This window comes from Homo sapiens, chromosome 21 (genome assembly GCF_000001405.40).
Source record: "Homo sapiens chromosome 21, GRCh38.p14 Primary Assembly".
NCBI classification, from domain to species: domain Eukaryota; kingdom Metazoa; phylum Chordata; class Mammalia; order Primates; family Hominidae; genus Homo; species Homo sapiens.
In genome coordinates, this window is record NC_000021.9 from 38,732,346 (window position 1) to 38,746,193 (window position 13,848).

The 13,848-nt window shown below is 42.1% G+C and overlaps 1 long non-coding RNA gene across 2 annotated transcripts in view; it reads right to left on the reverse strand.

Moving 5' to 3' along the window:
- Positions 1–6,675: 6,675 nt before the first annotated feature.
- The window catches only part of LINC00114 (long intergenic non-protein coding RNA 114), a 34,457-nt gene continuing 27,284 nt past the window's right edge, over positions 6,676–13,848 (reverse strand). For both annotated transcript variants that reach the window (NR_027065.2, NR_027066.2), the window contains 4 exons: positions 8,976–9,027; positions 8,539–8,723; positions 7,971–8,069; positions 6,676–6,984 (listed from right to left, as the gene is read on the reverse strand). This is a non-coding gene — a long non-coding RNA (long intergenic non-protein coding RNA 114). The remainder of the gene's footprint in view (positions 6,985–7,970; positions 8,070–8,538; positions 8,724–8,975; positions 9,028–13,848) is intronic.

A 13,848-nucleotide genomic window follows, 5' to 3' on the forward strand; every position in this document is an offset into this window, starting at 1 on the left:
CCTCTCTAGAGGAGAGCGTAGGGCTTTTCCTTTCCACCCTGCTGCCCAACCAGTAGCCAGGACCCTTCCCTGGAGAGGTCACCTGCCCACCATCCTGTCCCCTTCAACCCCCAAGTGCAAAGTCACCAGGTGCCAGCTCCCTATACCCCTCACCCCTCACCTGCACTCTCTCCTGACGGTGACTCCTTGCAGCCCTCACTTGTACACATGGGCAGGAAAAGGGAGCCAGTTCCTTGGGCATAGGGCTGCCCCCTAGGCAGAAAGATAAAGATCCACGCCCTATTCACCCCACCTCTGCCCAGTCCAAGGGAAGCCATCATCAACCTTCCACCATCTCCTTGGCAAACTCCAATTTTTTAACCCACACACCCAATATCTATTAAAATATTGATTTGTTTTGTAAATAATATACAAGTGTTCAAATAATTTTTATGTGTCCTATAAAAATAAAAGTACTGAAATTTGAGATAAAAATAGGTATGAAGAGAAATCCTAATATTTTCTTTCAGCACCCCCAGGAGACTGCTTACAGAGGTATTTGCTCGCACACATACACACACTCCTTGAGGTGTGCACACTCTTCTCAGAACCTTTCCATCCAGCGTGTTCTGGAGCCTGGGTCTGTAGCATCAGTGCTCTGCGTCGACCACTGGGGAGTGGGGAGGGGTGGGCACCCATCAAACAAGCACTTTAGGCACACTTCACCCATCCTGTCCACCATGGACAGAATGCTAGAGGAAAAAAATTTTCTCATGTTTTTTGCCTGTATCTGCTTTTGTATTTTTACATTACCAAAGCCCATCCTACTCAGCCTTTAGAATTCTAAAGAATACAATTTATGTAATGTATAGCTGAGGGTATAGGATGGCGCTCAGTTCAGTATCTTTGTGTTTCCTTTTCCCTTTCTTAAAAACAGGGCTTTGCTGTGTCACCGAGGCTGGAGGGCAGTGGCGTGATCATGGTTCACTGCAACCTCGAATTTCTGGGCTCTAGCCATCCTCCCTCCTCAGCCTCCTGAGTAGCTGGAACTACAGGTGCATGCCATCAGACTCAGTTATTTTTAAAATTATATTTGTAGAGACAGGGTCTTGCTCAGGGTGATCTCAAACTCCTGGGCTCAAGCCATCCTCCTACCTCAGTCTCCTAAAGTGCTGGAATTACAGGAGTGAGCCACCATGCCCAGCCTCAGTATATTTTTTTGTTTTGTTTTGTTTTGTTTTGTTTTGTTTTGTTTTGTTTTGAGACGCAGTCTCGCTCTGTCGCCCAGGCTGGAATGCAGTGGCACAATCTCGGCTCACTGCAACCTCCACCTCCCGGGTTCAAGCGATTATCCTGCGTCAGCCTCGCGAGTAGCTGGGATTACAGGCGCACGCCACCAAACCCGGCTAATTTTTGTATTTTTAGTAGAGACGGGGTTTCACCATGTTGGCCAGGATGGTCTCGAACTCCTGACCTCGTGATCCGCCCGCCTTGGCCTCCCAAAGTGCTGGGATTACAGGTGTGAGCCACTGTGCCGGGCCAGCCTCAGTATTTTTAAACCCAAATTATTGCCAGAGAAATTGGTATATTTATTCAGATGAAAAATACTTGCATTAGTAAGCGAAAATATCTGTCATCGTCACTTTACAGAAAATGGAAAAGGATGAGGATTGCACAAAAACTAGAAATTCCATCCCGGGTGTTTTTCCTCCTCAGCAACGGGCACAGGTCGTTCCAGTTTTGGCCAGGCGGTGGCGCTCGAGGCAAACGGTGTCATGAAACGGTCACTGGATGCACTGACCCTGAAGATGCTCTCAAAGCACGAGTCCGTTCATCAGAGAGTGGACTTGACACCCATCAGAAACATTCCCGGAGTGCGTTGGTGTGAAGGTGCGAGGAGAGTCGGGGAAGCATCCCGAAGCCCTGCTAGGCGAATGGGTACTGCTGAGATTACAGGGTCAGCACAAAGCAGAATACAGGACCCGAAAATAACAGCTGCACCGGAAGAATACTTGACCACTGTTTAAGAAGGAATTTGACGAAGAGCAGTCACCGAGTGCAGCCCTGGGCCGGCTAAAGGAAAAGAAAAAAAATCACTCAACTGCCGCTCGGCGGCGGGAATGCCAGGCGGGTCAGAGAAGGGAAACAGGGTGCTTTGCAGCCGCGGTGCAGGCGCAGGGCAACCCCCTGCCCAGCACTGAAGTCTAGAGCAGGCTCTGCGGGTAAATAGGAGAAAATCCTAGTGAGCCTTATTGTGATTCAACATTTAGAATTTTCCCCCAGTTCTGACCTTGAGATTTAATAAAAGGCGTTTTCAAGTTACACTGGTTCTCTTTTCATATGGAAATGAATTTGGGGTGATTGTTTTCACTGGTGTCTTATTACTTTACGAAATTATGAGCACCCCTTTGCAAGGAAAAATACCTTCTGTCCTTTGGATTGCTGGTTAAATACGGGTAATTTTCATTCCTATTTAAATCAACTTGAAAAAACAAAAGGAGGCCACGTAGGCAAAAGTTCGTTTTGAGGAAGGAAGTTCTCCTAAAAGCTAGGGTAAGTAGATTTTGCTTCAATCTGCATATTTTTCAAGGAAAGACTTTTAAAACGAAATGTTTCTAAAACCTGAAATTTTAAAGGCAAATACATAGTCTTTTTAATAAAGCAAAGCATATTCTGCATTCCCACCTTTTACGAGAATAAAATAAAATATCTAGAGACAAATACATTTGGATTTGTGAAAGGAAAATAAATATTGGGACCACAAAATCACTAAGCTAAAGAGAAAAGTCAAGCTGGAAACTGCTTAGGTCAAACCTGCCTCCCATCCCTCTGCTTGCTAAGATGAATGCATATCTGCTTGCCTCATTTTAAAAAGTTAATCAGAAACTCAAAAGAGGCAATCATTTGTCTCTTTTTTTTTTTTAGATGGAGTTTCACTCTTGTTGCCCAGGCTGGGGTGCAGGGGCGCTATCTCGGCTCACTGCAACCTCCACCTTCCACTTTCAAGCCATTCTCCTGCCTCAGCCTCCTGAGTAGCTGGGATTACAGGTGCACACCACCACACCTGGCTAATTTTTGTATTTTTAGTAGAGATGGGATTTCACCATGTTGGCCAGGCTGGTCTCGAACTCCTGACCTCGTGATCCTCCTGCCTCAGCCTCCCAAAGTGCTGGGATTACAGGCATTAGCCACCACACCTGCTCATTTGTCTCTTAACTACCTGTGACATGGAAGCCCTGTCTCTGCTTCAAGTTGTCCTGCCTTTCCAGACCGAACCAAGATACATTTTACATATGTTGATCAATGTCTCATGTCTCCCTAAAATGTATAAACCCAAGCTATTGCCCCGACCACCTTGAACACATGTCGTCAGGACTTCCTGAGGCTGTATCACTGGTGCAAATCCTTATCTATCGCAAAATAAACTTCCTAAATTGACTGAGACTTATCTCAGATAGTTGGGGTTCATAGGTTCATTTTCAATTTCTAGAGAACCTCTAATGGAGTCATAATTATAAAAGTCTCATTCCATTTCTTGGAAATTTGGGGACAGACAGAGAGAGAAGATTATGATTTACAATGGGGCAATAAGGAAGAATAATGGAAAAAAAAAAGAAAAGAAAAGATCAGCATCCCCTTCAGGAATAACTATGTTTTATGAGGCTGAGCCATGAAGCAACTAACAGAATCATATCCCACACCTCTCCCAGTAATGCCCAAGTTCAAGACAAGCTTTGCAGTAAGAGCACCTGAGTCTGTCATTTCATGTCCTATTTTTCTGTTTCATTTTGTACCAGTCCCTGGAAAATTCTCTGTGACTTCCTTTTCCAGCACATAAGGGCTCATGTCTCTGAGAGAAGCCAAGTCCTATCCTCTCCAGATAGAATGAAAAACTAGGACTCCTCCCTACCACCCATTCAGCCCATGTGCACAGGAATTCTCTTCCTTCACTCAACTTTCCCACAACCCCCAGAGCATATGTGGATGTTGGGTTGTTATCTATTAATTGTGTGATTTGGAAAAGGGCAGCAAAATGGAAAGCATATTCCTCAAATGTGTCCTGGGGAGCTGCTTGAAAAACACCTACACAGAAAGTACAATTGACGCTCTATTTTTTCCAGCTGCACCCCTTCTTCACAACAGATGTACACTTTGGTGAAATACTGCTGGTCTGTAAAAAGGAAAGGTTTATTTCTAAAACAGTGTAGTCATTCTCTCCAAAGTTATACCATAACCCAATTTAAAATAGGGTGGGAAGCAACCCACTGAAATTTTGAACCAGCTCTAAATTAGAGTCCAGAAAAACAAATGCCTAAATAGTTAATTACGGAAAGTCCATCCAGGCTTTGGATATCATGTACAGATCTTTCTATTTTCTTCCAAATAAAGAATAATGAAAAGAAATCAGCGGTAGAGCATTTCTGATTAAATACCCAGAATAAATACTCTATGTAAAAAAGACAGTGTAGATTCAGTGGTAGAGAATACAGTTTCTGGAAGTAGATTTCGTAGGTCCAAATCCCAACACTTCAATTTACTAGAGTGGTGACCTTGGGCAAGTCATTCAACCTTTCGGTGACTCAATTTCCTAACCTCCAAAGTAGACATAAGAAAATTGCCTCTTGAGATAGCTGTGTGGTATGGGTTGATACTTGTGAAGTATTTGGGATAGGTTCTGTGCTAGGAAAATATAAACTGCTCAGCGTATTTTACCATATTATTGTTCCTTTTAACTGATCACTTTTTCTCAACACACAGGTAAAATACTTTACTTTCATCATGTTTCAACAGCCACGTCTAAAATACCATGTTCTGTAGGGTTTTCAAAACTGTATGTCACTTCACTAGCAAGAAGGGTAAAATGGCTATATGATTTGGAGACGTTCCATACAATAAGCATAAAACTGTTAATATTTTTAATATGTTTTGATGTTCTTGGAAACAATCTAAATATCCTACAACAGGGAAATAGGAAACGGTTAAGAAAGTTATGGAAGACGGCCATATGTTATGGGCGCACTGGCTCAAATCTATAATCCTAGCACTTTGAGAGGCCCAGGTGGGTGGATTACTTGAGGTCGGAAGTTCTAGACCAGCCTGGCCAATATGGTGAAACCCCGTCTCTACTAAAAATACAAAAATTAGCCAGGTGTGGTGGCACGCACCTGTAATCCCAGCTACTTGGGAGACTGAGGCAGGAGAATTGCTTCAACCTGGGAGGCAGAGGTTGCGGTGAGCCAAGATCTCACCACTGCACTCCAGACCAGGCAACAGAGCAAGACTACATCTCAAAAAAAAAAAAGAAAGAAAGAAAGAAAAAGAAAAAATAAAAAAAAAAAGAAAAGAAGTTGCAGAAGGGGCAGAGGATTTAAATAATACAAATAAATGCTTGTGGTGTGTCAAGTGAAGCAAAAAGTGTAAATATTTTACAAGTGGTAAACTCTCAGATTATAAAATGGATAGGGATCGACTGAAAGTAATATGCTAAAATGCTACTAATGGCTTCTGCAAGTGGTGGAAAGTGGGTACTTTTTGTTTTCTCAGTTCTACTTTTACTGACTTGCCAAATTTTTCACAAGATTGACTGAGCACTTACTCTGGGCAAAGCACAGCTCTAAGTGTTTCACATGTGTTAGTCCATTTGTGCTGCTATAATAAAACACCACAGACTGAATAATGTATAAAGAACAGAAATTTACTTCTCATGGTTCTGAAGGCTGGAACGTCCAAGACGGAGGTGCTGGCGGGTTTGGTGTCCAGTAAGGGCTCCTCTCTTGGCTTCCAAGATGGTGCCTTGTTGCTTTCTCTGGAGGGGTCTTCTATGGCAGAAGGGATGGAAAGGCCAAAAGGGCCTAAACTAGTCCCCGCCAGGCCTTTTATAAGGTACTAATCTATTCTAATCCACTGGGATTTAATCACATCCCCAAAGGCCTCATCTCTCAATGCCATTGATATGGTTTCGCTGTGTCCCCACCCAAATCTCACCTTAAATTTTAATAATTCCCGTGTGTCAAGGGCAGGTGGAGATAATTGAATCACGGAGGCAATTTCTCTCACACTGTTCTCGTGATAGTGAATAAGTCTTATTAATTGAATCACAGGGGCAATTTCTGTCATACTCTTCCCGTGGTAGTGAATAAGTCTCATGAGATCTGATGGTTTTATAAATAGGAGTTCCCCTCCACAAGCTCTCTTGCCTGCTGCCATGTAAGACGTGCCTTTCTCCTCCTTTGCCTTCTGCCATGATTATGAGGCCTCCCCAGCCATGTGAAACTGTGAGTCCATTAAATCACTTTTTCTTTATAAATTACCCAGTCTTGGGTATGTCTTTATTAGCAGTGTGAGAACAGACTAACACAGCCATCAAAGTGGGATTAAGCTGCTACATGGATTTTAGAGGAGACACATTTAAACCATAGCAACATATATTAATTTATTTCTCTCTCGCAGAGGCCATTTTACTTAGGTGGTTTATTTTTGCCATTTTACAGATGGAAAAAAGAAGAGAGAGTGAGAACAAGTAAACTCCCCACAGCTCTATCCTTGGTAAGTGAGGTAGCCAAGATTCTGAAGCAGGCTTCTGACTCCAGAGTGCTCCTAACCACCAGTCTACACTGCCTCTTTACATACACATCACTTCGAAATAAGAAAAAAAGTTCATTTTAAAGAAAAAAGAACTTAATTTTGCCAGACAAATAATTTGACAAAATATGATATTTACTTTAGAATACATTATTCATACATATTATGGATTTAGTCTTCATGCAGCCCAATATAGTATCTGAAACATATTAGATTTCTATGGCTTGTTTTGATTTTTCTGAAACACTATTTCTTTCGAATTTCTTTGGTGAAAGTAACTTCTAAAAATACAAATCCAGATTTACCCTCTAAACAAACACAAAGGACATAAATCTTATTACATTAAAAGAAATGTACTTCTAAAGCATATTTGGGTGAGGATATATTGAAATATGTCTCTGCAATTCATATCTGGAAATGGCCCTGTGGAGAAGAGAATTACAGGATGAGTAGGTAATGAGGACTGACTTCTACTTATTTAAGAATCATAAGGCTTCATTAAATTCCAAGGTTTACTTCATTTTCTATCTTCTTTAAACATCAAGTTTAAGAATTTGAACCAAGAAGTAGAAGAAAATAATTATTTATTTAAAAATATATTTAATCTAACATCATAAGTGAAGCATAGCAAAGTCTTAAAAAAAAATTGCGGCAAATTGGTCTGAGAGTCCACCATTATGACAGATTACAATGACCAAGGGCATTCGCCTCTGTCAATTGATATTCTAATGTCTTCATTCAGCAAATATTTACTGGACATCTTCCATTGTGCCAGCCACGGATCTAAGATTTAAAAGCATTTGGCAAATTCTTTTTTGAATTGCCTACTCAGTCTACAGAGTCTACAGATGTTTAGACCTAAGGAAACCAGACATCAGGGATATGTTGAACCTTCCAGTGTCAACCCTGGACAAAGCTTTCCTTTGAAAAGGTAAATGGGAAGCATAAAGAATTCTCCTTGAAAAATCTTGGTAGACGATGGCACAAAGTAGGTGAGGGTTTGGATGGTGATGGGGGGAGAAGCCTAGCAACTGAGTTTATGAAAGATTCTGGGAAAGCCTTACCCATTCAATGTGCCAGAAATAAACCTAAAATAAGTGGCACCATTCAAGCAATGACATTTTGAGAATTAAAACATAGCCAAGTCTGAAAGCAGGACACACCATCACTAACTCAGGAGAACCTTGACATGAAACAATGCCCCCCTGCCTTTCCTCTTGCTTCTCTTTGCCTGTTTGTTTAATCAAATTACGCTACAGCCATCCTACAACTGCACAGTGATTTCTGAAAGGACTCCACTGGAGTTCATTCCATTTGCATCAGTCAAAGAAGCTGTCTTTCCCTTCAAATTGCCTTCCCTATAGCCTTCAAAATTGGAACAAGGGATGGCTTTTGTCTTCCAGCCTTACCAGGAAGATGAAAGTGAAACAGTTCCCTTCTCTCTGCAGCCGGTCTGCACACGATGATCTGCCCAGGAAACTGTAGGTATATTGTAAACTATTACTGCTCTGTAGATAAAAAATGGTTGTGGTGAGATGCCAAGAAGTCTTTATTTATATATTTATATATATATTTATATATATTTTTATATATTTATATTTATATATATTTATATATAAATATATACATTTTTATATAATTATATTTTTATATAATTATATTTATATATAAAATGTATTTTATATATAATGTATTTTATATATAATATATAAATATATTTATCTATATTTATATATTTATATATATATATTTATATATTTATTTGTATATACATTTATATATTTATTTATACATATATTTTTATATACATTTATATATTTATTTATACATATATATTTATATATTTATATATATAAAGTCTTTATATATCTGGTTTCCTCTCAATCTCTCTCTTTCTTTCCTTCTTTCTTTCTTTTCTTCTTTCCCATTTTCCTTCCTTCTCTCCTTCCTTGCTCCAGATTTAACATTAAAACTCACATGATGCCACAAGTTTGAGCACAACATGTCTAAGAACAAGTTCTTAGGAGATGCGCCTGGGCCCCAAGAAGCACAATGATGATGTGCTCCTGGGCCTGGAATCTCAAGGCTCAAGGAGCTCCATGGTCCTGACCCAGGTGATGAGGAGGAAAGCTCTCCACTCCATCAGGCCTCTAATTCCACACCTGGAAAAAAGAAAGACGAATTGGACCAGAGTCTCCCCAAGTCTCCTCTCGTTCTTAACTTGTAGTTCTAGAATAATGGAATGTCGGGAGCCCACGAAAGCTGCCTTCCTCCAACAAATGTGCACTGGGGTAGACCCCTCCTTCTTTCCACCCTGCTGGGTTGTACTCAGAAGCATCTCTGCTCTTGGCTCTCCTTAACCATGCTATGGCCAACCACACCCTCCCTGAAGGATGGTGGTATGAGTCGCTCACCATCAACAGCTCCCACCTTCCTCTTGGGTTCTTCAGCAGCTTCTTAAAGTCCCTGGCAAGAGGAGAGAGAACCTAATACTTATCCATCAATGTAATGGGTATATAGGAATGAGATGTAATCACCTTTATACATTCATAATTTAATCCTCCCAGCAGCCCAATGAAAGCCAATCAACCATTCATGGATCCAACAAATATTTCAGAGCCTATTTCTTGTGTGGTTGGCAGTGGGGCCTGCGTCTCCAATGGGGACACAGTAGAGCTGAACTGCCATCCAGGAGGTGACTCTCAATCAGGAAACAGGAAACAAGAGAGCACACAAATAAAAAGATAGCAGGAAGGGAGGTGCCCTTAAATTAAGTGAAGGGGCACCTTAAAGGGAAGGGGCATTAAGTAAGAGATCTGAGGGGTTGAGGAAACCAACATTGCAGGTGAGGGTACAGGCCAAGGACTCAGGGAGCCTGGTGATCTCAGGCTCAAAACCTTAGTGTGGCTGGAACTAAGGGGGAAGAAAAACATTACAACATCCCCAAGGTAGGCAGGGCCTCAGATGCTGGGCAGCAAATGTGGGTTTTATCCTGAGTACAAAGAGCAGTCATCTGCCAAGGAGCCCAGTGCTGCTTCCACTGCAAATATCTAGGTTCCAAGAGCCCCTCAACCCTTCTCCTCCCTGGACAAAGATCCACCCTCAAGCTACTTCTCATATCATTCGCTTGCATGTCGCTGACTCTCAAGCATGCTCCTGGTCATATCTGGGACTTGTTCTTCAAGTCTTATCTTTTATTGTAGCACAAAACCTTTTGGCCTCCGTTATGCAAATTCGAGATACCAGTCATTTGAGGAAGAAGTAGAGAAGGGAGGGAAAACAGGGTCATCTTCCCCAGCTGCCCTAACTCGTTTCTGCAAAAGACTAATGTGTTTCCAAACTCTCCAAGCACAAGAGCTCCCAAGCAATTACTTTAGGGAAGCCAATGATAAATTTACATTGAATTGCTGGGTTTATGAAACGATAGTGTTTCCACAAGTGTAGACTGCAGAAGTTTTGAGAGGTATCAAAACTTATTACATAAAGGTTTGGCAATATGGAGTTTATAGAAATTAAGTAGGTCTCTTGACTATAGGACTTCTCAGACCTTAATCGGCAACTGCAGGGCAGGAGTCTCTGGATCATCATGGCAGCTATGTTGGTCCCATGTCCCTGGACTCTGCTGGTCTGCTTTCTCGTCTCTATCTAGAGTACTATATAAGTACTAGGAAGGCAGAGATTGTATCTTAAATATTGCATGTCTTGAATGGTGTCTCAAGCATAGTGAGATCTCAATTATTAACAAATACTTATTAATAAATAAATGAAGGAGTCACCAGCAGGTGATTATTTTCCAAACTTCTCATATTTTTTTCATGGAACACATCTTTGGACTCTTGCTAAAGAACAGACCCCTTAGGAATGCTTCTAAGGAATGCTGCTTCAGGAAAAAATGACAACAAAACTATGATGTGTACAGGTTCTTTACCTAATATGGAAGAACCTAGAATTCATTATTATATTTGGTACTTTTTTCTTGTAGGGAACTTGTGTCCTCTAAAATTTATTTAAACTAAAAATGTCATCGTCATCATCAGTCAAGATAGCCATCTTGCTTTGTTTCTCTGTCTCTCTCTCTCTCATTCTCTCTCTCTGTCTCTCTCTCTCTCTCTCATTCTCTCTCTATCTCTCTCATTCTCTCTCTCTCTGTCTCTCTCTCTCACTCTCTCTCTGTCTCTCTCATTCTCTCTCTCTGTCTCTCTTTCTCATTCTCTCTCTCTCATTCTCTCTCTCTCTCATTCTCTCTCTCATTCTCTCTCTCTCTCATTCTCTCTCTCTCTTTCTCTCTCTCTCTCTCTCTGTCTCTCTCTGTCTCTCTCTCTGTCTCTCTCTGTCTCTGTCTCTCTCTCTGTCTCTCTGTCTCTCTCTGTCTCTGTCTCTCTCTCTGTCTGTCTCTGTCTCTCTCTCTGTCTGTCTCTGTCTCTCTCTCTCATTCTCTCATTCTCTGTCTCTTCCACACACACTCACCTACACAATGATGCATGGCCATAATTATTAAAAATTATTTTCAGATTAGAAAATTCAGAGAAGAAAACAACTATTGGGAATCCCACCAGTTAAAATGTTGGCATTTTTCTTTCTCCTGGTCTTCCTTCTTTGCTTTTTGTTCTGAAATCATGCTTTTTTTTTTTTTCTTGAGACGGAGTCTCACTGTGTCTCCCAGGCTGGAGTGCAGTGGCGCGATGTCGGCTCACCGCAACCTCTGCCTCCTGGGTTCAAGTGATTCTCCTGCCTCAGCCTCCTGAGTAGCTGGGATCACAGGTGCGTGCTACCACACCTGGCTAATTTTTGTGTTTTCGGTAGAGACGGGGTTTCACCATACTGGCTGGGCTGGTCTTGAACTCCTGACATCGTGATCCATCCTCCTCGTCCTCCCAAAGTGCTGAGATGACAGGCATGAGCCACCACGCCCAGCCCCAAATCACGCTTTTCATGCACACACTGGACATGCCATGGGAGGGATCTACCAGATACCTTCCTCCCTTCTCTCAGAAGCCCGGTGTGCTCTGCATGCCCGCAGCCCCATTCTTGGGCCAATCCAAAGCGGCTCCTTTTGCATGAGGAACTGACCAGAGGCACGCTGGAGCCACTGAGCCAAGCTGGCTTGAGCTTCCTGCATACCTGGGCATCTCAAAGGCTGGAAGCTGCTCTTGAGAGTGAATTTCCTATAAGCTAAAACCCTCCCACTGCAAAAAGATCCGTCTTTTCCCCACTACGGTAAAAAAAAACGTAATTCCTTTTCCTTCTTTCTTATTCTGCGTATAGTATAATGTCTTTAAAAGCTGTTGCAAAAGTAACTGCTCGATATGTCACTCCAGGACACTAATTGTTTAGTGGGAACACACATTTCCTGAATTCATTGCAGGGTTATAGGTCAGTTGATTTATTATTATTTGTGCAAAAGTAAATGGCTTTTGAAGTGAAGCTGCTTCCTGGCAACAGAGGACGATCCCAGCCCTCGGAGTGTGCGTCTGCAGCTTACGACCGGACGCATCCCGGGACAGGGCTGTGGTCCTTCACAGCACCTGTCTGGGTCTGGCCCTCTCACATTGCAAACTTCGCAAAGACCTGAACAACTGAGGCAGCTAAGTGTTCGGGCATTTTTCCTACTCACTTTTTTTTTTTTTTTTTTTTTTTTTTGAGACGGAGTCTCGCTCTGTCGTCCAGGCTGGAGTGCAGTGGCGTGATCTCGGCTCACTGCAAGCTCTGCGTCCCGGGTTCACGCCATTCTCCTGCCTCAACCTCCCGGGTAGCTGGGACTACAGGTGCCCACCACCATGCCCGGCTAATTTTTTTTTGTATTTTTAGTAGAGACGGGGTTTTACCGTGTTAGCCAGGATGGTCTCGATCTCCTGACCTCATGATCCACCTGCCTCGGCCTCCCAAAGTGCTGGGATTACAGGTGTGAGCCACTGCATCCGGCCCCTGCTCACTCTTGACAGAGTGAACAAGCACTCCTCCCCCCTCCCCAAAACACTGAATCCCAGCATTCCCAACGTGCAAGCAAGCCTTTCACAGAAAAGCGTTACAATCTTATAATTAAATTAGGTGCTTGTGGGAAACAGCACAATTAAAACCAGAAAATAATTTAGGAAGATTAAACCCATTAAGGTAGGACTTTTCTTCTTTAGTGGAGAGGAAATACAATTAGGTGAACTAACTTATTAAAAACACCTACACAGATATCTAAATATCTCCCAAATGCACTGAAATGCTTTGCTCCCTGTGAGGCAGAAAGACTCCACTTCCTTTTCTGCCAAATCAAATTAGAAAGCCCAACTCAATGATTCCCCAGGAGAAATATTTACACCTCAAAATAGATTGAAGGAAATCTAATCTGAAGCTGCCCAGAAATTACTACAGAACTAAGTTATTTCTGTCATTTTAGGGTGGTAAGCTCATGATTTCATGATAAGAGCACCCATTCTATCACCTAAATTTATATAAACCTTGAAGAATAAACACGGGGTAGAGATCTACTTTTCAGGATATGGACAGAAAAGTTCTTGTGGTCTTACGTAATTACAATATAAAAATGGGTATAGATATGACCTGACACATTATACAATAGATCATTTAGGTATAATGTAGACTTAATGGGCAGGGCACAGTGGCTCATGCCTGTAATCCCAGCACTTTGGGAGGCCGAGGCAGGTGGATTGATTACCTAAGGTAGGGAGTTCAAGACCAGCCTTGCCAACATGGTGAAACTCCGTCTCTACTAAAACTACAAAATTCGTCCGGCGTGGTGGTGCATACCCATAGTCCCAGCTACTCAGGAGGCTGAGGCAGGAGAATCGCTTGAATCCGGGAGGCAGAGTTTGCAGTGAGCTGAGATCGTGCCATTGCATTCCGCCTGGGTGACAGAGCAAGACTCTGTCTCATAAACAAACAAAAACAAACAAACAACCAAAAAATCCTTAATGAACATGTATGTTTAACGATATATATATATAGGAACAGTTATAGCCAGATGTTCTCAGAGTTTGACGGTTGGAGAAATATAACAGTGATTAAAAGCTTCACCTTTGGAGTCAGATGAACTTGGATCTAACATGGCCATAAGCATGTTAAATCTGTCTCTAAATTTTAGCCTCCACATCTGTAAAATGGAGATTCTAGAACCACCTTTGAGGAATGTTATGGGGATTGGATAAGGCCATACCTATTGTTTGCTCAGCAGTGCCCTGGTACTTAGGAAATGCCCATAGTCACTATTTTAAATAGTAAAAATAAGCTGGGCACAGTGGCTCATACCTGTAATCCCAGTAGTTGGGAAGCTGAGGC